The sequence below is a fragment of the Homo sapiens genome, chromosome 6, assembly GCF_000001405.40.
Source record: "Homo sapiens chromosome 6, GRCh38.p14 Primary Assembly".
Classification (NCBI taxonomy): Eukaryota; Metazoa; Chordata; class Mammalia; order Primates; family Hominidae; genus Homo; species Homo sapiens.
Genome location: NC_000006.12, coordinates 15,341,516 through 15,366,152, shown reverse-complemented (window position 1 = coordinate 15,366,152; position 24,637 = coordinate 15,341,516). Strand labels below are relative to the sequence as shown.

At 40.5% G+C, this 24,637-nt stretch overlaps 1 protein-coding gene across 14 annotated transcripts in view, besides 1 other annotated feature; it reads right to left on the bottom strand.

Moving 5' to 3' along the window:
* Window positions 1-24,637, bottom strand: part of JARID2 (jumonji and AT-rich interaction domain containing 2) — a 275,974-nt gene that overhangs the window by 155,890 nt on the left and 95,447 nt on the right. For 5 of the 14 annotated variants that reach the window (XM_011514579.4, XM_017010833.3, XM_047418744.1 and 2 more), the window contains one exon: window positions 14,999-15,052. The exons of the other annotated variants lie outside the window; for them this stretch is intronic. In XM_011514579.4, coding sequence (XP_011512881.1) covers window positions 14,999-15,052 — 54 coding nt within the window. The remainder of the gene's footprint in view (window positions 1-14,998; window positions 15,053-24,637) is intronic. 14 annotated transcript variants of the gene reach the window in all.
* Window positions 2,058-2,217: an enhancer, noted in NCBI's record as "active region_24077". NCBI's record gives its function as "activates an Ori minimal core promoter by ATAC-STARR-seq in GM12878 lymphoblastoid cells {active_cell/tissue: GM12878}" and the evidence as "EXISTENCE:reporter gene assay evidence [ECO:0000049][PMID:35858748]".

Here is a 24,637-nt window from a genome sequence, read left to right as displayed (position 1 = left end):
ATGCCAAACCTGTTCCAGCAACACTTTGAGAGAAAAACGAAAGCACCAAATAAAAAATTGGGAGGGAATGTTGATTCTTCCCACAGATTAAGTGTAAACAAAAATGGGGTTGGGGGTGATGAAGGAAAATGAGAAAGGTACAACTTCAACTTTGTCTAAAATAACCTTTTCTTCCCTTTTAACAAAGTAACAGTAGTACTAATAATTTCCAATTGATTTAATTCCAAAAAAAAAAAGTAGTCTGTCAATATTCAAATAAAGTGAAGCCTGAGTAACATTCACAACTGGAAATAAGGGGCCAGGAAACATCTTGAGAGAAGAAACTTACTTACTGAACTTGTGAATGATGTTCCCTTGCCTAGGGTTTAAATTAAAAGCACTTCAAAGCAGCAAATTTCTTCAGACAGACATGCTTCCCAGGTTAGGGTAAACGGCCTGAAAATGCTTCTGCAAGGAGAGTTTTACTTCTTCCAAACTCCCATTAAATAATGTGTACTTATCTTTGATTACTGCCTATTTAAAAAAAAAAAAAGCTGCAGCTGAAATTGGATTAAGAACTTCTGCTGAAAACGATTTATTGCATAACACAACTCTGACAGGCTGAATCTCCGGCCACCAACTGAGCCTTTATAAAAATCTGCTGGGCAGCTGCCAAGTCAGCTCTTTTGCGTCTGAGCATGTCAGACATCCGCCGTCGTCAAGGCAGCAGCATGGCAGCAAGACGTCCGCACGCTCATGGTTAAAGGGTGCAGTCAGGGAACAGAGCAGCCAGAACCACGCAACACGGCATTAAAACCTCCTGCAGTGCTGGATCTGACGGTTCGCTTTTTCAATGTAATCAAAAAAGACCCAAGATCTACAGCAGGATTATCTTCCAGCATCTAACAGACACCTGGATTGTCAATGTACCTTCACTGATGGAGTGGTGGCGAGGAAATCAAATTACAAATAAATTATTGGCCAGTGTCTTCAAAAATCAAATCAAATAAATAGTTCAATATCACCAATGCCAGTGTGCAACTATATATGACTTCACTTTGGGAATTTATGTTACTAGAATTTCCTTGGGAATTTATGTTAATTTATTTACAAAGAAATTCTAATATTTGGATCTTTTAATCACTAATGCCTTTTTATGTTCATTATGATATACCCCCAAAAAATCCCCAAATGCCACATTCTAATCTGCACCGTCTAATACAGTAGCCACTAGTCACATGTAAGTACTTATAATTAACTCAATTAAAATTTAAAATTAAGGTCCTTGAGTCATGCTGGTCACATTTCAGTTACTCAATGGCCACAATCCGACCACCTGTCAATGGACAACACAGCTACAGAACGGTTCTGTCATCACAAGAAGTTCTTTTGGACAGCACTGACATATCTGCATTAAATTGGATAGGGTTTCAATTGACATTGCGTGTTACGTGATAGTGCATTTTACTACGTCCCTGAGAGTCTTATGTGCCTTATGTGTTACTCCATTTACCAAGAAAACTGTGGGAGATAAGAAATCTTTTACAAGAAAATTAGAGTCTAAAGCAGGCAAGAACTATTCAAAGTGCAGACATCCACTCATACAACTCTCCAGGTTGGAAGTGGTTCCAGTCCTGTGGGGCACATCTGGCCTCTAGGGGTTTTGCAGGAAACCCCTCTTGCAGGAAACATCCTGAAGATGAAGTAAAGTCTGTCTGCAAAGCCTTGAAGACACACTGCTTTCCTACACCTTCAAATCCTTTTCTAAGGAAATCACTACAAAATAAAGCCTCCGGGATTGAGGCCAGACAAAAACCAGTCCTATCCACCAGCCAGTCTCCAAGTACCCACAGGGTGGCCAAAACAGGCTTGATTTGATTCATGGTTGCCCCTTACTGACAGGGCTGGTTAGAATTACGGCCCTGTGGGTGATGGAAAGGAGTTAGTGCTGCTGTTTCTTCCACCAGGACCCAGGACACTGCTGGGGGATCATTTTATGAGATCAATCAATGCCTGACTGACTCGCTGGCTTTTTTGGTTGAACAATAACTACCCCACCCGAACCCCAGCAAGGAAATAAACAGAAGTATACGTATATTGTCACAAGACTGGTTATCTCTGGTCATGTTATATTACAAACCACCAGTTTATTTTTGTCTATCTCATGCAAATTTCCACACTAACAGAAAGTCTACAAATAAACTCTGTCCTTGGACTTAACATAAACTGACATATTGCCTTATTTTTTCCAGAAACAGATAAAGTTGTCTCATATGCCTTAACCCCTTCCTGTGTCCTCCAGCCCTCCCAATAATTAATAACCACCCTGGGATTGGCACCCTTTCATTACAGGTATGGGCCTCCAGAAACCATTCTGATGCACATTTTCCCTCCAAAAAGCATTTCCCACTAATAACGTGTGTCCACCAAGCGACAGGGCACACACATTTCCTGTACATATTCTCTTCCACATTTTTCAACTAGCATACTTATCACACAAACATTTTTAAATGCTGAAACTGAGGTTCAGAGGTGTGAAGTAGTACAGATCACATTCTGACTAGTCTGTGTCTTACTCGCCTTTTATGTTCCTGAGACATAGCAATGAGTCCAGCACGTAGCAGGCACTTGAAGGCCATTCCAAGACACAACACAGGGAAACAGGTGGCAGGTGGAAAGAGTGAGAGGTACAAAGAAGCCTGGATTCCAATTCTGGAATTCTGTGAATCTTACAGTGGCTCATGTGTAAAACAAATAATTATCTAAGGCAATGGTGGCAAACTTGAGCAGACATCAGGAACACTCCCAGGGCTTGTGAACACACACTGTGCACAGCCTCCTTTCGCTGAGATTCTCTCAGGTGATGCTAATGCTGCTGGTTCAGGGATTACACGTGAGAAGTGCTGGTGTTTGAACAGCAGACATGCAGCCTATTCAACTTTCATCCTAGTCTTCCAGGAAAACTGTTCTCACTGCCATGAGAAACACTCTAATTGCCAAATTTAACGCAAACTTTTTATCGGCAACTGGACTCTCCCCTGGTTTTCCTGCCACACTAAAATACCTTTTCTGCTGTTTCATCACCTCCACCACCTTCAAGTTTGATTCTTCTGCCGTCCCCTTATCTCCAATCATAATCTAAATACTGATAACTACTAAATCATCTTCTTGACAATCTCCTCCCTCCCCACCACAACCCTCTCCACACCACCTTCCTGGCTACTCTGGTCTAGAAACCGAAACTGGACTTGGCACTTTTTTTCTCATTGTTGACATTTGCTTTCAAAATCCAGGTAATCCTGTCTGTCTCTCAATTCCTTGGATACCTATTTAAACCAGAAATCTCATCTCTTTCCAAAGACAAGAAATCTCCTAAAATGTCTCTACCACCAACTAATCCCAATTCCAACCATCTACCCCACGTTCTTTCTCTACAAACACAGCCACGCTGCAATTTGACACCATCCATGTCACCACTTCCCCTACTGAAGCCTTTCCATGGCTCCCCAGAATCTCAGAAGAAAACTCCAAATTTCCTTGCAGAGCCCATAAAGACCTATCATCAGCCTAACTTCCCTTACAGGCTTTAATTTCTACACAACTACCAACACCCCTAATTGATAAGGTATGAGCATCTCATAGGGGCAAAAGCTCTCATCGTCAGACCCCGTGTCCAAACAAATGCCAGTGTTTACTAACTGCATACTGATCATGACTTCAACAGTAATGCTACGGTAAATAGAGTTGCCTTTCTCAAGAGACAAGAATAAAAAGTCCATTCTCAATTCTTTTTCATACCAATGTGTTGGCACCTAGAAATAAACAAGTAGTCTTAATTTACCAGCTATGTCTGTTTCACTTACTGACCTAAGGCTGGCTGTTCGTTCTGTATTGCAAAGAATGCATGATCCTATGTAACCCTGAGAGAAGACCTCAATAACACTTAAACTGATATATTTTCGACAAATTAAATGACTCCTCTTCCAGGCCTGGTGGGGCAGCTCATGTCTGTAATTCCAGCACTTTGGGAGGCGGGGGGGGCGCAGATCACCTGAGGTCAAGAGTTCAAGACCAGCCTGACCAACATGGCGGAACCCACTAAAAATACAAAAACTAGTGGGGCATGCTGGTACATGTGTAGTCCCACCTACTCTGGAGGCTAAGACATGAGAATCACTTGAACCCAGAAGGCAGAGTTTGCAGTGAGCTGAGATCACACCACTGCACTCCAGCCTGGGAGATCAAGACTCCATCTCAGGGAAAAAAAAAAAAAAAAAAAAAGGGGGCTCCCAATCCAAAGACAAGATTTAACTCTACCTCTAACAATACTTTACAACAATCACCATTGTTTCAGCTACCTAAACAAAACTGAACCTCTTCTTTGGTCCGTGCATCCCAGCCAGTTCCAACATTTCTTCCTTTATGCAGAATGAGGTTTCTTGCAGTTGTTTAGCTCTATGACGCTGGAATAATGTGGCAGTTGGGGGTTTAATGAAGAAATTCACACTTACCCAAAGCCATGAGGACTGACCCCACCCTCCCGCCAAAAAAAAAGGTGGTATGGCATACATACAACTTCATTTTAAGTTAAAGCTGCTAGGGAAAGCAAATATGGCTATCAAGAAGCAAAGTTACGATTCTTCCTATCCTTACAGTTTGCAATCATACAAGAAACAAAAGGTGTGTTATAAGCAAAGTGGATGTATGTAGAAATTTACCATTTACACTTCGGTGATGTGTGTGAAAGGACAGAGGAGGAAGTGGGGGAGATAAGAAATTTGCTCTAAATGGGAAACCACTGGAGACTTCGGAGCAAAGAAGTAGCAGACTTTGAGCACTGACTGCAGTGTTGAGGGTAAATCATGGGGGACAGTGGTGTGGAAAAACAAGGGAGGCTGAGGCAGTTACCTGTACAAGAGATGAGGACCAGGGTGGTGCCAAAGACTGACAACTGGTTAAATTCTGGAACATTTACAACACTGGGCCAAGAGAAGGCTGACAGACTAGATGTGGCGTGTGTGAAAAAAGGGAGTCGAATACATCCAAAGGTTTTCAACTCAGTAAATGGAGTCACCTCCACTGAATTTTTCAATGTGCTGTTACCTGTTACAGACCTTAGAGAAAATACCAAAGTTCAGTCCAGAGACATGAATGTAGTTGGGTGGTTTTAATCGAAACTCAGAATATAAATTTAGGTGCCCTAATTTACTGAAGAGCAAAATAACAAAAAATAAACAAAAGCCTTTATGTATTGATTTAAAAGTCAGGAGTGAAGTCAAGTCAAGGTTGGCGGACCTTGCTGTGCCTTTTTTTGGCTAACAAGGTTTTCAGAGCCTTTGGGAAAACAATGCTTTAAAAAAGAAAGACTAGGTTGGGCGCAGTGGCTCATGTCTGTAATTCTCACACACTGGGAGGCTAAGGTAGGAGGATTGCTTGAGCCCAGGAGTCCAAGACAGCCCTGGCCAATATAGCAAGAGACCCTCATCTCTACAACAACAAAAATTTAAAATTAGTTAAAAACTTAAAATTAGGCATGACGGCACACTCCTGTGGTCCAAGCTACTCAAGAGGCTGAGGTGAGAAGATCGCTTGAACACAGGCATTCTGAGGTTACAGTGAGCTATGATTGAGCCACTATACTCCAGTTTGGGCAACTGAGTGTGACCCTGTCTCATAAAAATAAGATAAATAGGCCGGGCACAGTGGCTCACTCCTGTAATCCCAGGACTTTCGGAGGCCGAGGCGGGCAGATCACGAGGTCAGGAGTTGAAGACCAGCCAGGCCAACACGGTGAAACTCCGTCTCTACAAAAAATACAAAAATTAGCTGGGCATGGTGGCACATGCCTGTAATTCCAGCTATTTGGGAGGCTGAGGCAAGAAAACTGCTTGAACCAGGACCCAGGAGGCATTGCCGTGAACTGAGATCATGCCACTGCACTTCAGCCTGGGCTACACAGTGAGACTCAGTCTCAAAAAAAATTAATTAATTAAATATTATAAAGGAATAAAATAGAAATAAATAAAATATAAAGAATGACTAACACAGAAGAGTCTTGGATAGAAAGAGAAATTACTCAAGAGCCATTCTCTGAAAATCTACATTTGACATCACAAGCCCTAACTCATAAGAGATGAGGTTTTGGTTTTGCTAATGTAACAGTGGAGGACTTAGAAATTCATCAGTCGGCCAGACGTGGTGGCTCACGCCTGTAATCCCAAAACTTTGGAAGGCCGAGGAAGATAGATCACCTGAGGTCAGGGGTTCAAGACCAACCTGACCAGGACAGTGAAATGCCATCTCTACTAAGAACACAAAAATTAGCAAGGCATGGTGGCGGGTGCCTGTGGTCCCAGCTACTCAGGACGCCGAGACAGGAGAATTGCTCGAACCCAGGAGGCAGAGATTGTGCCACTGCAATCCAGCCTGGGAGACTCCATCTCAAATAAAAAAAAAAAAGGAAAAAGAAATCCATCTGTCACTGCTGGTGGGGAAATTCTAATACCCGCTGAGGTTATAATCAACCCTACCCACCTCTCTCTAACACACACCCCCCACCGCTACCCACAGATAGCCTTATTTATACTTAGGCTTTCAATGCAAATAAGAAAAATGAGGGGCCGAGTGAGTGAAGTGACACTGCCTAGGGCCTGCCCACGCGGGTAGCTAAAAATATAGTCATGAGATACTCTCTGAGCAACACCAAGACTATTCAGGTTTCAGGCGGCCGCAAATCAAAAATATGTGTGTGGCAGTGAAATGAACTTTCTCTCCAGTCAATGAATCCAGGAAGAATCCAGAAGAGCAACCTCTGGATGCCACATCAGGGGCAGGACATACCGTCAGAAAAGCTGTTGGGACAGTAAAGTATACAGCAGCGCAACATCCAAAGGAGTAAACCCTACGACTTGCAGGGAGACTGCAGAAAATCATTCCCACTCAGAAAAGTTTTTATTTACCAACCTGCGAGTCACACCATGCTGCTATACCTACACACTGTGGTTTGAATTTCTTCTTCCATAATCCTTGAGCTCCTGAAGCAAAGATTCTCCCTAAAACATTCTTCACTGCATTTCCTAGAAAGCTACATTCCTACCTTTCTAACAAGTCTTCTTATCACCACTGCTGGTGGTTTGTGTTCAAGCTTCTGCAGCACTCACTGGGAGCACTCTCCTAGAATACTAGTGGTCAGGCATGGCCGCCCTGGAAACCACTTAATGACTTCCTCACCCTCACATTGACTTAACTGGTTGGGGTATGGCCTGTGCCAGAGATCTTATAAACTCAGAATGGCTGCTCTAGAATTCAGTCCCGCCATCTCCCAAATCAGCCTCCTGGCATGAAAAAATCTATATTCTGACAACTCCTTAACATCAAGACTGGTACGCGTTAAAAGCTTAGTAACTAACTGTAGAGAGAAAGAAGGGAAACCTTTGTAACTAAGGAAACCAGGTAACTGTTTAAACAGAGCACACGGAATGGCTTGATACATGTTTTTCTTGACAGTAATTCTCTGAAAATGAGAATTCACTATTCTCAGAAAAAGCAAAAAGGTTACAGTGGACACAAGTTTTCATTCACTGAAACATAAAACGAGCACCTACTGGCTTCAAGAAACAGAATCAATCTGCTATCATCCATTCAAAGCTTCGGTTGCCCCAACTCAATGATGAAAATCTCATTAACCCTGAATCTCTGAGTCAGAGGTAATTCAGTCCTAATCCACCAACAACACAAAAACAGTGTGTTAGTACCAGTATCGGGAAACTCTGTTGTGATTCTTCATTTATTTAATAATAGCAGAAAGGAGATATTGGAAAAACCAGACCATCTTTGATTCAATATATCTCATCACCAGAAACTAATCACTAATTAAAGTCAATATATGAAGATGAGAAAGTTTTTCTTCCTACTAACATTAAAGTTGATGATAGAAACGCTTATAAGCAGAAATAGTAAACAGGTTATATTACACAAACAAAAAATTTTTTAAAGCTAGTTGGGGTTTGACAAACTTCTTAGAACACCTTACAAAAGCCCTGACCTCAAAGAAAACACTTTCCAATTTTAACATACATGCCCACACAAAGAAACACAGCAGACACGCCCCAGAGGCCAAAATAAAATGCTCTCTAGTAATTACCGTAAATAGAAAAAGGAGATGGGCTTCCTGAGTCAGAATGCAGAGCACAATAAAAACCACCAGCACAAAAACATCATAAACAAAATTACATGGACAACAGTAAACTCAGAAGACGGTGGAATTGCTTGTCAGTGTGATACAAAGAAACACATCTGGAAGATGTTTAAACAAGAGAAGGGGGTGTCCGTGGGTCTGCAGAGGGCTGCTGCAAGGATATACAGCATGCCAGTGTCGTCCTAAAAGACACAACATAGCATCCGGAAACAGCTCACTTTCTGCAGGAGAAACAGAAGAGTTTCTTTAAAATCCCACCATCTACAGTTTAAAGATTTGAGAAAAGATTTCTTATTTTTCTATATTTTGATTATCTCCCCTAAATTTGATACAGAATTTCTCGACCAAGGGTCTTTCAACTTGGCGAATTAAAAAAAAAATCAATAAATAACATTTGCTTAGAGAGACTTTTCCCTTTTACAAACAGCTTCAGTCTCCAAATACCTCTTAAATGAACATGTAAGACAGTTGTCCATCTAGACCCACACTAGACCCATTTTGAGTATCAGTTTGAAGTTATAATTTATGTTCACTGACATGTAATGTTTAAATCACATCCATAATGAACCTGTGATTAAAGACTAAGAATGAATTCAGAGCATAAAAATAAGGGCACATTTGCCTCAGAAACCAAGCCCGTGTAAATTGTACTGTATTTTATTTGATCCAAAGTTGCACTGTTGTAAAAATTGTTAACTTCATTACTGCAAAATCCCATGTGATGTATGCTTATGGCTGCACTTATTCAGCGTACTTCATGAAGACTTTACATACTCAATGAAAAAACGCATGACTTTCCTAGGCCATGAAGGACATCTGGCTGCAGCAGCCCCTAGTCTTGCCAGTAAGGCTTCGTTCCCTAGAGATGGTCTTTCACTCTGCACTGAGCAAAAGGTACTTAGAACACATAGCCAAGTAACTGTGAAACGAACAAAGTTTTTTGTTGTTGTTTTTTGTTTGTTTTTGAGACAGTCTCAATCTGTTGTCCAGGCTGGAGTGCAGTGGTGCACTCTCAGCTCACTGCAACCTCTGCCTCCCGGGCTCAAGTGATACTCCTGACTCAGCCTCCTAAGTAGCTGGGACTACAGGCACGTGCCACCAAGACCAGGTAATGTTGTATTTTTAATAGAGATGGGGTTTCACCATGTTGGCCAGGCTGGTCTTGAACTCCTGACCTCAAGTGATCCGCCTGCCTCGGCCTCCCAGAACACTGGGATTACAGGCATAAGCCACTGCGCCCAGCCCAAAAACAAACTTTTTAACATAAATAACAAGAATCCAAAATATGAGATAATGAAAACAACTCAGTCGCTTGTCTCTACTTTGTTCCTGTATTTACATTAGGAAAATGTGCACATTAATAAAACTATAATACATTTCTTCCCACTTCAAGCTTATATTTATGAATTTGCCTAAAAAAAAAATGCTCTCCCTTACATATGAAACACAATGTACTACGTGACAAATAGGAAGTTAAAATATATGTACTTGTTAAAGATTCCATAGACGTGAACTTAAGACAAATCCACTAGAATGACTATAATAAAAACAAAAAGAAAAACAGCAGACGTTGGTGAAGATGAAGAAACGGGAAACCTCATACAGCAATTGTGGGAAAGCTACTTAGGCCAAGTGTGGGTTCCTCAAAAAGTTAAACATAGAATTATTCAATTCTATTCCTGGGCACTCATGTAAAACGTGAACACAAATGTTCACAGCAGCATTATACATAATATCCAAAAAGTATAAACAACCCAACTGTCCATCAAATGATGAATAAATGAACGAAATATGGCATATACTTACAATAGGATATTCAGCCGTAAAAAAGATTTCATGGGGCAGCGTGGATGAACCTTGAAAACATAGCTAGGGAAACAGGGAGGCAGAGAGGCCACATATTGCAGGATTCCATTGCTACGAAGTCTCCAGAATAGGCCAACCCACAAAGACAGAAAATACATTGCTGGCTGCCAGAGGTTGCTGGGAAAGGAGGGGGGACTACTGCTAATGGATATCGGGTTTCTCTTTGAGAGTGATGAAAAAGTTCCAGAAATGTACTAAGTGGCCGGGCACACTGGCTCACGCCTGTAATCCCAGCACTTGGGGAAGTCAAGGTGGGCAGATCACATGAAGTCAGGAGTTTGAGACCAGCCTGGCCAACATGGCAAAACCCGTCTCTACTAAAAATACAGAAATTAGCCAGGCGTGGTGGCACGCACCTGTGGTCCCACCTCCTCTGGAGACCGAGGCACGAGAATCGTTTCAGCCTAGGAGGCAGAGGTTGCAGTGAGCCGGGATCACAGCACTGCACTTCAGCCTGGGTGACCTAGTGAGACACTGTCTCAAAAAAAAAAAAGCAAGAGGAAGGAAGGAAGGAATGCACTAAGGACTAAAAGTCTATGAACTGTACTCTTTACAATGGTTACAACAGTGAATCTTATGTGATTTTTTACATAAGCAAAAATAAATCAACTAACCTAAAATCAAATTGTACTTAAAATTACTTTTGAAATACTGTGTGTGAATAATTATTAGTATTATTAGTATTTTATCCCCATATGAAAGTTCTAGAATGTATTAACATTAGATATAAAATCACCTAATAGGCAAAACAAAATCATAATCACTTTGAGTAAAAATTTTAAGATTTCTGCATATATTGCAGCCTTAGTGATCCAAAATATCAGCTTGCATTTTTTGATGTTATCAAGTTCATTGACAATTTCTAACAAAGTATCACTTAAATTAAATTAAATTAAAAAGTAGCTTATCAATACAAAGTACAGGCAGATAATTCCTTTATAACTTATACTAACTACTTTTGAGACCTCACACAGGGCAGAATGGGAATGTGTAAGGTTTTCTCTCCTCCTACCCTTTGCATGACATCCAGTCAGTGACCAAATCCACACAATGGGAGGGAGGGTTCATATAGTGCTCTCAATGAACATTCTTCTGGACTTTCAATTATTTCTTTCTTGAACTCTTATCATGGTCAGCAATCCGCAGCCTAATCAAGTTTTTTGTGCTTGCTCCCCACCTGAAATTCACCTCCCCGGCTTTTCTAATATTCAGTTCTCAAATATCACCTTCTTCAAAGCCTTCTCTGACCAACCTATACCCCAGTCTAAGGAACTCCTTTAACATTCTTTACAGCATTTATCAACCACACAATTCTTGCTTGTAGGGGTAGGTATTCTATGGTTTCCAAACTACATTACCAGCTGAATTTCACCAGTCATGTGGCCTAACCCAGCTAAGTAGCATTCGATATACTGTACACTTTTACAGTCCGGTGGTCTGGGTTCAAATCCCAGCTGTTTACTGGCTCTATGATCTTGGGGAATGTTAAGTACATGCTCATTTCCTTATCTGTGCTTGAATGTCTGCTGTGTATATAATACACTGAAAGTTTTTAGAAGTGTGCCTGACACTGAGTGTTACTTAAGCAGTAACATCAAATGTCTAACCCCTGTGTTAACAAAGGACAAAGAAAGCATTAAAGTATGCAGTAATTTCCTGTTGCTGCTGTTAACAAATTATCACATTTCTGTCTTAAAACACAAATTTTCTTACAGTTCTGGAAGTAAGTAGTCCAAAATCAGTTTCACTGTGCTGGTGGTGTTAGCAAGGCTGGATTTTTCTGCAAGCTCTGAGAGAATCCAATACCGTGCCCTTTTCAGCTTCTAACGGCTGCTAATATGCCATGGCTTGTGGCCCCCTTATCCATCCTCAAACTGCATCACTCCCACCTTCGGTCCTGTCTTCTCGTCTCATTTTTTGCTCTGACAGTGAGCCACCTACCTCTGTTTAATAAGGACGCTTGTGATTACATTGGGCTCACCTGGATACTCTTCTCGTCTGATGATCCTTGATCAATCCCAGCTGCAAAATCCCTTTTACTTAGATACACCTGTGAACAAGACTGAACTTGCTGCCATTGAAATACACCTCATGCTGAACTCTGAAAAGGCTATACAGGGATGTGCTGGCACAGAGGGGACTGTTATCTTAAACTGTACGCTTTAGGAACATAAGTGGCAGATTTTTTTCCCCATTTGTTTTTATTTTACTGTACATAAAAGATCAGTTCCTTGAATTTCCTACTGACGAAGTATGAACACCTGAGTGGGTCAAAAATAACTGGTGGCTCCAACTCATGCAAAACTACCATCTCTGTTACGTTTCCCTAGAAAGAGAAAAGTAATTGTTTTGATTGAAAAGAATTTTTTTTTTTGCATTGAAATCCTGAAGAGGTAGAAGGAGTAGAGTATTGGTTGAAGGGGTTTACAATTGTTCTGAGTTCTCAATAAAGAGAAACATGGAATTCCCACCAGGAAAAGGATCATTCTAATGTGACAGGCTCCTAACTTCTGAGCCAGCAGCTTATTACTAGAACACTTAATTCACCACGATCAATTGGCATTCGATTTTGGAATAAAATTTTGCTGTTGTTGTTCAGAAAGAGACCTTCCTCGATAATGATATTTTTTCCTAAATAACATAAGCATTCTTGTCTCCAAACTGCTCTTTTTAAAACCACCATTTAAGTAGAAATTTAAGTAAGATATGAATGAATCAAAGCTCTCTCAGAATAGGTACAACGATATGAATTAAGCTCAAGATTTCTACTGTAATGTATATAAGTGAACAATAAACACATGAAAACATGCTCAATATCATTAGTGGGTAAATGCAAATTAAAACAGCAATGCGATACCACTTCACACCTACTACAATAACTATTTTTCTAAAAAGACAGGCAACAAGTATTGGAAAGGATGCAGAGAAACTGGAACCTCAAACAGCAGTGGGAGTGTAAAATGATACGGTGGCTCTGAAAAATACTCAAAAGGCTATTACTCAAAAGGTTAAACAGTTGCCATGTGACCCAGAAATTCAATTCTCTGGCATACACCCAAAAGTGAAAAACAGTCCACACCAAAACTTGCTTACAAATGTTCACAGCACCATTATTCATCATGACGATAACATGGAAACCACCCAGCCAAGTGTCCATCAACTCATGAATGCATAAAATGGGACATATCCATGCAACAGAGTATTGTTCACCAATAAAAGCAAAAGATGTATTGATGTCTCAATAGCCCTTTGCAGCTGTAATAAGTAACCTCGTGGCGCTATGCTATGCGTATTTATTTACAAAACTTATTCCACTGTACACATTATTTACAGTGAATTTAGACTTACAGTCATGTCTGAGGGGGGAAAAGCAGAGGTTGCACCCTGCCTTTGAACTGTTCTGCCTGCTGGAAGCACACCATCATTGTCTGCTCCCTACATGACAGCCAAGTGAACTACTTAATAGACACTCAGACAACTTCATGTTTCCAGGACGTTAAGGGAGAGTAAGGTGGAAAGGACTGAAGCACAGGAAAAGGATCTGCAAGGAAACCCCAAGATGCAGAGCTTCATTTGTATCCCTGACTTAGACCTCCCAGGCCATGCTTGGAGCCTTCCCTTCACTATTCTGATTCCTGGATCATGTGGTCATGTGGTCCTCTGGGGACTTTTTACTTAGTAATCTACATCTGAGCTGGGGGAAGAATAGTCTTCCTCTCCAATGACAATGCACGTTATCAGGAAACAGCTTACAGACAGAGGACAATGTAACATTAATATTAAGAACGGGGTGGAGAGGCGGGGGGCTACATAGTTTCTTAACAAGAGAGCCTTCCTTGTTAAAATTATAGTCTTTCAGGAATCTCAGCTAAGCATGATGGCTCAGATTTTAGCAGCCTTTAATATTTTCTGTTATAATGAATAATATGTCAATAAATTTGGGTTCAAGAAACTAACAGGATTTCAGGAGGGCAACGGGGAAGATAAGCCTGCAATGAAGAGCTAGCTGTGTTCCTCCCTTACGTCGGACAGAAAAGAGGGAGAACTATTACTGAAAAAAATTAAAAAGGAAGAAATATCAACATCAATTTTAAATGCCTCACAGCCTCAGATTCGGCGCAGTGATTATCCTTTTTTAAAAGGATATGTACAGTAGTAACTGCTCTTTAATACCATCTCTCAAGCCAAGTCAACACTAGTTTGAAGAATCTCCTGGTATGTCATCAGCAGAGGGAAGCGGGGAGTGGAGAGCACTTGGAAGAACCAAGAGGGTGAGTGACTCAGGCCATTGCTCCCTGCCAAGGGAAGCAGCTACAGATGCCAAAACATCCCATTTTATAAGGCTGCACAAAAGTGTGTGCCTCTCTGGACCACACAGCAACTCATCAGAAGCCCAGGATAACTTCCCAGTTGAATCCATACATTGGTCACTTCCCCAAGAAGAGCAAATTAAATCCAGTGGTGAATAGGATTGGCTCCCAGAACACAGGTGCAAGTCGGTAGCCTTGTGTGATATAAATGCACCTACTCCTAGCATCAGACGCTACACATGCACCAACATTTGCCACCCCTCCATTTTACATGAGGAAAGTGGGACCCAGAAAGATCTGCTCATTTGAACCCCTCTGGAGCAGAGCAGGGATGAGACCCAGGCCTCCTGCTCCATGAGGCCAGTGTCTTTCCATGAGGACCCCAGCTAGAAGGAAGGTTTCCAGTTTTATTTAATCCAGCAATCCCTACCTGGTAGCTATTGGTGGGAACAAAAACAAGAGGTTGACCGGAATCCTCCCAGCTTTTCCCCTCACTCACTCATATTCACCTTTCAGCATCTCTTTACCTCAGAGAAGTTTTTACCAGACCCTATTAGAGCATTAGTTACTGTTGGTATTACTCAGAAATGCTTGGCTCACCTACTAATCTATAGGCTCCCTGGGGTGACCTCTATTTTCCTCATACCTGATGAGCACAGTAGGTCTTCAGCAACATCCTCTTCGTTAACCAAAAAGGCACCTTCAAATATGAAATTTGTATTTTATTACATACCACTCAAATTGAAAACATGACTGCTATTTAGTAACCCTTAATCCAAGATATCTGCTTTTTTTTTTTTTACTTTGAAATCTCTTTCAGTACAAGGATGTGGCAGTTTCTCCTGCCTCCAGCTACCCTGGAATAAGTAAGCAATCCTTGAGGACCTAACATAACTTTGAGGACCGTCTTCCTGTTACTAGGTTGCCAAAAATATTTGGGAGTTATTTTGCAATCAAAAGTGAAATTTTGGTCATTCCTCCCACACCAAATATTTCACTAAAATCAAATGTACAGCCTGCTGCCACTCAGTTTCTATGCCTTTGTTAATTCAAAAAAAAAAAAAAAAAAACCTTAAACTATGATTTGGCATTGAAATGAAATCCATGTGAATCTTGTTTAAATAGCAATTAAATGCAATCAGTGAAGGCCCAACGATGACTATAAGGAAGTGATGAGGTTATGAACAACCTGGACCAAATTCACTCATACTCAGGCTATGAGAACAAGGTGACTGATGCAAATGGGTTGTTTGTCATTTTAGGCATTTTAAAATGTGAATACCGAGCACATCTTGGAATCAGCTAAGTCAGTAACACCAAAGTTCTTCCCACTAGCTATAGAGTCTCCGTGTTACTAATGAAGACGAACACCTGATTAGATGCACGTTTTGATTAACATCTCCAGCTCAAGACACGGAGAAACTGAGTGAGCCAGGTGAGGTCTGCCTTCATCAGAAATCCTGCAAAACACAGCTTATTTCCTTCATTTCAGGTGCTTGGTCAACATGCAGCACAAAAATAACAGCATATTGGTTTCCCAGTCCCTTAGATCTTATTGATCATGATTCTGTGACTTCACCCTTAGACCTTTCTGATCATGATTCTGTGACGTTACTGATGTATGCCTCAGGTCACAGCCTCAAGCTTGATGGAAAGGGCTGTCTCCCCAAATTCCAGCCGCGTGTTAAAACAGATGCTGGGCTTGCAGAGTTCAACAAACAATACAGCAGACTTATCCAACATTAAGATCCAGGACATGGTGGGCCCAGCTACTTCCACTCAACCCATCTCTGTTAACTTTCCTCATCTAACCAATAATACGGGACCACAAGAACCGAGAATATCCAGATTTGACATCCTTAGCAAAAGACGCAGAATCATAGCCTGAGAATAAACTCTGTCATTGTATATACATTTCAACGGTGTCCGTCTCATCTCCAAAAAAGAGTACCTGCAAGGATTCAAGCTAGAAGAGATGATGTATTAAGCTGAAGGCCAGAATAAGGCATTGCTTGCGGGAAGGAGGTAGCATCCCCAGCCTTCATCTTTCCTTCTGTCTTTTGATAGAATGCAGCACTAGCGTAAGGGGTGGTGGGGGAGAGGAACTGGGAAGCTCGGTGTTTCTGCTCTGGTTTTTACTTCCCTTCATGGAATCCCTTCCTTTTTTCTTCAGCATTCCTGCAGGAGCTCCTCACGCGTGATGAGTCAAAAGCCATCAGTGATCTTTGGCCAAAACTACAATTATGGAGCTGCCAATGCCAAAATCCAGTCCCACTTCTAAAACAGTGCACTTTAATTTGTACTGTTCCTCCAGACTGAACAATCCTGGAAATAGAAGTGAGAATTTTCCAACCTGCAAATAATTCTTCTGAAAACGTCCAAGTCATTCTCACTGGCTACTCCAGTTAGGCCCACTTCACACACGTAACTAATTAGGGCACACAATGTTGTTGTGGTTGTGGATGGAGACACTAAAAACTTACCTGCCCACAAAATTCCATCCAGATGGAACATTTTTCTTTAGTATCTCCCACCTCCAACAAAAAGTCACCATCTTGGATTAGAAAATAAAACCTAATATAGCAATTAGGTCCTTCAAAACTAACCAGGACCTATCTACCACATCACCCCTAAATGAGCTATGACTTCATAGATGGGATCCACATTTTTCTTTTAATATTGAAAAGCAGACCAACATAAGCTGCAAGGTCAAGAGGGAAACTCATGTTGCAATATGGTTTCAGGAATCTCAGTGAAAACATTTTTCCCTTCCTAATACACACACAGTTAATGTGAAAACCCTTTTCAACATTGTCCATGGAGTTCTTTCATGGTCTTAATTAACAAGTCTTAAACTTCCATCCTATTGCTTCAGATGGTATGCTACTGAAGTAAGTATTTCTTTTCCAATTAATTGGCTTAATTCATCCGCCTCCACCTCTCCATTCACAAAGAGGTAGAAAATAGCAACCACTAAACCTAAACAGCAAAGCCTACTCTGGTTAGAGCTCCCCACGCTAGTTCTCCTGTTGCAGCTGCTTCTCATCTAGCTGGGAGCTGGGTCTGCAAAAGCTTGACTGTGGGCTTTTTACCTGTATGGTTTCAGCGAAGAATAAAGAACAATGTTTGACATTTTTATACTCGAGAAGAAAGCAAGAGCAATTCTCTCTACCTTTTCAAGTATAACTGAAGAGAAGAGGAAAAGAAAACCCACAAGTTAACTTCTAGAAAAAAAAATTTAATTAAGTTCAAACTTTAAAGCATTTCTATGAGCTTATGAAGACTCTGAACCAGTCCCAGCCCATGGAAGTTTATAAAATATAATTTAAAAAATACTGAGAACCCCTCCACACAAAGATTATCTACTGCAAAGAATATTCATAGAAAAAAATAGAATTAAAAGAAATAATTGGCCAGGTGCCGTGGCTCACGCCTGTAATCCCAACACTTTGGGAGGCTGAGGCAGACTGATCACGAGGTCAGGAGTTCCAGACCGGACTGGCCAACATGGTGAAAGCCCATCTCTACTAAAAATATAAAAATTAGCCGGGTGTGGTGGCGGGCGGCTGTAATCCCAGCTATTCGGGAGGCTGAGGCAGGAGAATTGCTTGAACCCAGGAGGCGGACATTGCAGTGAGCCGAGATCACACCACTGCACTACAGCTTGGGTGACAGAGCTAGACTCCATCTCAAAAAAAAAACAGAACAAAACAAAAATAATAATAATTATAAGAAAAATAAAATAACTAAACTTCCTTGCAGCTGGGTGTGGTGGCTCACACCTGTAACCCAGCACTTTGGATGCTTCCTCTTGAGCCCAGGAGTTCAAGACCAGCCTGGGCAAAATAGGAAGACAGCATCAATACAAAAACATTTTTAAAATCAACTGGGCATGGTGGCATGCACCTGTGATCCCAGCTATTTGCAAGGCTGAGGTGGCAGGAAGGTAGAGGCTATTGTGAGCCTCTACTTGAGCCTCCACTTGAGGCCTGGAGGAAGAGGCTATTGTGAGCCATGATAGCGCCACTGCACTCCAGCTTGCGTGACAGAGCGAGATCCGCTCTGAAAAATAAATGAATATACTTCCTTGTCCAGTAAAGGATTTTTGAGCCATCACCACCAACATACACAAAGTGGAAATGTTTAAACCCCAACAGAATTCTACTTTTTAAAAAGTCATTGGTGTAATTGGTGAAGAATATCTCATTCTTCATCTCATTTTCTTACACAAGCTCAACAATAATACATTAGAGAGTATACCCAGGAATCTAAACACATATCATGGAAAATAAAATATTTTTCTCAAATGCTCACCAACCACGTGAGGAATCAGGGAAGGCAAAATGAATTCTGATGGTTTAAAAGGTTAAAATACTGAGAAGAATGCTTGCTTGCATGAAACAAAATAATCATTTCTCTCATCATCAAGCATGTGCACTTCTCCCATACTTCCCACCACCTCCCCACACACATTCTCGTTAAGTCCTGCATTTCATCAACATACTTCCTTTCTAAATACTTTCAAAAGGTTTAGGATAGCATTTCACCACCTACCTGGGTCCTTCTTTTCCCCATATCCTCATTCTGCCCATAAATTATAGCTAAATTCTCAACCCAACTACTTAAATATATAGTAGCTGCTGAATATTTAGTTACTTCACATGTGTTCTCATGTTCTTAACCACGAAATGTCTCAGGGATGACAAATACTGCTTTAAGAAAACAGTCTACCTATCTTTTCTTCTGATATAAAATATTACAATTACTGCCAGGGAATGGTGGCTCACACCTGTAATCCCGGCACTTTGGGAGGCTGAGGCAGGCAGATCACAAGGTCAGGAGTTCGAGAGCAGCCTAGCCAACATGGTGAAACCCTGTCTCTACTAAAAATACAAAAATTAGATGGGTGTGGTGGCAAGCACCTGTATTCCTAGCTACTTGGGAGGCAGAGGAAGGAGCACTGCTTGAACCCAGGAGGTGGAGGTTGCAGTGAACCGAGATCACACCACTGCGCTCCAGACTGGGTGACAAAGCAAGACTGTCTCAAAAAAAAAAAAAAAATTACAATTACTTCAATAGGAATAACTTGACCACTACAAGCTGGTCACTACAAGCATCCAGACGTTGTTAGAGCAGAACAAACAAAATCAAGCAAGGCTCCTGGAGATCAAGACAAAACGATGGCTCCACATCCCCTCTCCCAGAGAAGTGGGTTAGGTACACAGATGCATCAACCAAACGCGTAAAGGCAGAAAGGAAGAAAGAAAAAAGCCACACCAAAGCCTACTAATCTGCCCTGCAAACCCAGAAAATCATAAGCATGTTAATTGAAACCAGAATCTGAGAAAGCCAAGCAAACTTAAAAGGGGTACAAACATTTATAACAAGAGGAGGCGACTCATGGATTTAATTACTTCCACTATATATGACAATTAAGAATAAATGGTGGAAAACCACAAAACAGCAGACAGTAAAGAAAAAAGTTAAATGCTGATTGCCATTAGTGTTAACTGGAGTTTCTAACACCTGCTATAAGCTACTGTGTAATAAAAAATGAATTACTCTCCTAATGAATAAATGAATATCTTAATGGAAGCCAGGATCTTTGGGAAGCACATTTAAACTATTTTATGCCACAAAAGTAATGTTCACCAAATAGATGCTTTAATGCGCATTTAACTAGATGAAAGACCCTGAACCTCTAAGCGTCCAATCTACATCTGACAACAGACTTTTATCAGACAGGAAAAATCACTGAATAATAATTCATTATTTCTAATACAGACAGCTGAACGACAACAAAACCACGAACACTTACGGAATGTATGTTTCATATATCACCACTCCATGAAAGAAAAGCTAACTTATCCCAAGTTGCAAACCTGGATAAGCAGCAGAGCAGAGATTCAATCCCAGGCAGTTCCCTTCCCAAGGCTTCATCAGTGTGAGCCTTCTGGTCCACCCAAGGCTCAATGACCCAGTAACAGACTCCCAGCAACCCAAGGGCTGTGCTGAACTACAATGTTGCCCATGTAACTCTAAGAAAACGTAAGAAAATGGAATTCTTTCTCAGAAAATTTCCATCTAAGAGGAATAAAGTCAAAATCGGTATTTTAAAGGAAGCAAACTTATAAAAGCTAGAAAATGTATAAAATGCACTTATGGTCTTATTTCGGTCCCAGCAATGGGAACGAATAATATTAAATAAATTAATATGTTTAATTATGAACTGAATTTTAGTTGAAAATTCCAAGAGGTTGAATTACTTTTCCATATACTACTTCCTATCAAAAGCTCTTTCTCAATTACACAGGAAAGGATGGGAATACAGTAACTAGACCAAGATCAATGAGTAAGCTCGAGCTCCAGATTTTCAATTAGAGGACAAATAAATTAACAACGGTTCTCTAGCTGAGGTGCAACTCGTAATTGACAGCAGATCACCCCAGGTTTCCATATCAGAGTTGGGTAGCCGGAGGTACCAACTTGGTGAATTTTTGTACTTCCAAAAGAGATTCAGGTACACATCCCTGCTTAACAATATTAAACTATGCTGCGTTCCTAAATCTGCTCCAGCACCTCTTGAAAAGACCTTGAAAGACAAGAAACTTATCTACATATATAGATAAGCAGCATACAATCAGTCTCAAAAGCTTAGAAATGAAGAAACTATACTAGAAGCTTCTAACAAACATCACAGGAAAGCAGTAGGAAAATCTGCCAACTATCATTCCTAAGCCTAGAAACCAGCTGCTGCATTAAAAAAACAAATTACACTGATAACTGATATTTAACATGCATTATATGATTTTGCAATAGCAGCAAACTTACTTCCCTAATTCAATTGAGCTTGTCAAAAAATTAAAATCTTCAACTATCCACACAAAAGAATGATCATAATCCAAAACGGCAGGTAATGCAATGCCTTCAAAACGTTTTTTGATATTTTTATTATTATTAATAGCATTTTTACAGAATAAGCTATTAATAAAATTACATTTCAGTTGATGTTCATAGAATTACAATAATTAAGAAATTATTACAGAAAACTTCATACAAGTAAGAGACAACCTGGGATTAAAATTTTTTCCTGGGTGGAAATCTATAAAGAAGGTAAAATAAAAAGCTGTGCATCAAATAATCTGCATACTCATGGTAAGAAATAGTCATAGATCATTTGTTTCTACAATCAGAGACTGAGGAATGGGAATGTTTTGGACTTAAATTGTGATGCTTGCACAACCTAACAGTTAAAAAAAAAAAAAGAATTGTACACTTTAAATGGGTGAACTGTATATGGTAAGTGAGACATAGCAATACAGCTGCGTTGGTTTTTTTTTAAACCAGAGAGCTCAGACTTTAGTAGGACTCTCAGTCACGTTTTTTAATTCCATTTTTCATTACATCAGCCGAGTCTGACAAAGCCACACACACTCCACATCCCAAGGTAAGCAAGTAGGGAAATTCCTATATGCCAGAGTGTGCTTTATCTAAGTTACATGGAACATGACAGAATGTTAGAGAGGAAATTATACCCACTCAAGCACCACCCACTGAATAAAAATAACAGAATTAGTAAACATCTCCCTCTTTCATCTACTTTCCAAAAACGCTTCAAGGGTCCACCACTACCACGAAAGTAAGTTTCACAGCCACCCTTGGAAATTTACAAAAAAAAAAAAAAAAAAAAAAAAAATCACTACATACTCCCAAGTAAAACAGATTATCATGTACTTCCTTAAAATTCAAGAGAATTTTGCATTCAACGCCCTGTCTGTCTGAAAGGGTGGCTCCCACTAACTCTCAGGTCCGGGTCCTCTCCGCAGGATCAGCAGCACCGAGCTTAATAGTCTGGAGCTATTTATTAAGTAAAAGGTCCTCCCAGGTAAATCTAAAAGTAGCATACAACAAAACCAATGTCTTGTAATGTAAGTCCAGGGCACCGAAGTTATTCTCAAAACAACTGCTTTGTTTTTTTAATCTAACAACTCACCACCAGCACTTGCTTGTCTAGCTGGCTTATAGTCTTGTGATCATTATGCCAAGATCAATGTACATTAGTCTAAACAATCTGATCTTAACCAGACCCTGCTTCTGTCAAAGATAACTGAAGAGCAACATTAACTCAGAGAACATCTGCTCAATGTTGGGGGACACAGTGACAGGATACCGGCTGCCCTTCCTCTCCCTCCAAATACACCAAAATGGAACCACACTTAGCAGAGGCCTCTTTGACTGCACAATAGCCTAATTTTATAGCAAGAGACTATCATACTTTCAATACACATCCAACTCTTTAATGTAACTTCAATGTGATTAGGGGCTAGGGAGGAGTTTTTAATGGGATATTCACCATCATTGTATTCCACCAGCAATAATAATACACACTAAATTTGGTTACATTTGAAGAGAACTTAATGACACTCTTCCATCTGGAATTAAATGGGAAAACCCCAGAAATCACAAAACCAAAATTTGAAGAGCATGCTCATGAGCTTTTTTTTTTTTTTAAATCCTTAACTAGGACTGTGAAGTAAAGCAGCTATTCCCTTTTTTTTTTTTTTTTTTTTTTTGACGGAGTTTCGTTCTTGTCGCCCAGGCTGGAGTGCAATGGCACGATCTCGGCTCACTGCAACCTCCACCTCCCGAGTTCAAGTGCTTCTCCTGCCTCAGCCTCCCAAGTAGCTGCGATTACAGATATGAACACCACACCCGGCTAATTTTTGTATTTTTAGTAGAGATGGGGTTTCACCACACTGGCCAGGCTGGTCTCAAACTCCTGACCTCAGGTAACCCGCCCAAAACACTGGATACCACAAAATGTCTTGGCCTCCCAAAATGTTGGGATTACAGGCGTGAGCCACTGCTCCAGGCCTAACCGTCACTATTTTACTTCCCAAGGACTCAGTAAAGGCGTCTTCAATCAAAGCACCTCAGTAATAATTTCCTAACTTAGTACTAGTACTAAACACCTAAATTATGGGTAAGTAACGACACAAAATAACGAGGTGGGAAAAGGTCAAGATGCATAATAATGTTCACTTTGAAGAAGAAGCTAGTTGAATAATTTTATGGAAAATTTTGCCAGTATAAACCACAAATTTTTCTATAATTTTAACAAACTAGAAAAGTTAATAGAACTTAATAGAATACCCCCCATTAAAAATGTGTATATTCTGAATAAGCAATTCACTCCTTTTTATCATAAGGAGTTAATTATGAAGGTGCACTAAGCTCACTACTTTGTTACTTTCAACAGCACAGAATTAGATCAAACTAATTCTAATTAGTTTGAATTAGATACCCCAATGCTAGGTAGGTGCTAATAAATTCTAGGAGGCAATGCAGGACAGTGACTGGGCTGACAAACCTGGAGCATCCAACCACCCTAGTTGGACAGTATTTAGTGTCTGCTCTGCCCCAGGTTTCCACCCTTGTGGGGGTAGTCCCAGAGGCTAAATGGGCACAATGGGTGGGGAGAGGGATCACACTGCATACTGCCTGGGAGACAATAGATGTTTACAGTAAGTCGCACAGAGGCCAAGTGGAGAGATTGTGGCGATTCAACTCAGCTGCCCAGTGGAACATTCTCCACCCAATTACAAGGAAAGATGCAGAAAATTATTTAAAAGCCAGACTTTGAGAGACTGAGCATGTGCAATGCTGCTCCGGGGATTGTTTCTGTTTTGTTTCTCGATGTTTTACCCAACTTGGTGAAGAAAAAGAAAAGAAAAATGGATACCACAAAATGGTAATAATTATCACTGTGTGGTATAAATGCTGTCCCCCCCCTTTTTATTTTAGCAGAAAGCCCAAATGTTCTAAGATAAAAATATATTGCTCTTGTAAATCAAATACAAAATAGGGTATGGAACTGTACTCAACAGGACTTAAATAGGATTGAAATAATGAAAGAATATTCACTCTTCTTTCTACAGTTTGAGTCATGATCAGTATCACACACCCTCCCATAATATTAAACTATGTCATTTCATTTGTTTAAACATTTATTGAGTCTATCAATGCAGATACTATGTCATCTTGCCCTTAAGCGGGCACTACTCTAAACTCTGCCTTTCATCGATTTCTCTTTGCCATTTACTAACAATAAAGACTAAACCCACAATAGGTGGCAAACTTACTTGGCACCTCTTCAGTCACTGCTAGAGTACAGTATTACCCCCCACCAAGAAATTTTATATACAAATATAAATTATTCTGATGACAAAACAGAAGGTCCAGTCAATGAAGTGTGGGAAGCCTTGTTGAAGCATGACTCAGTACC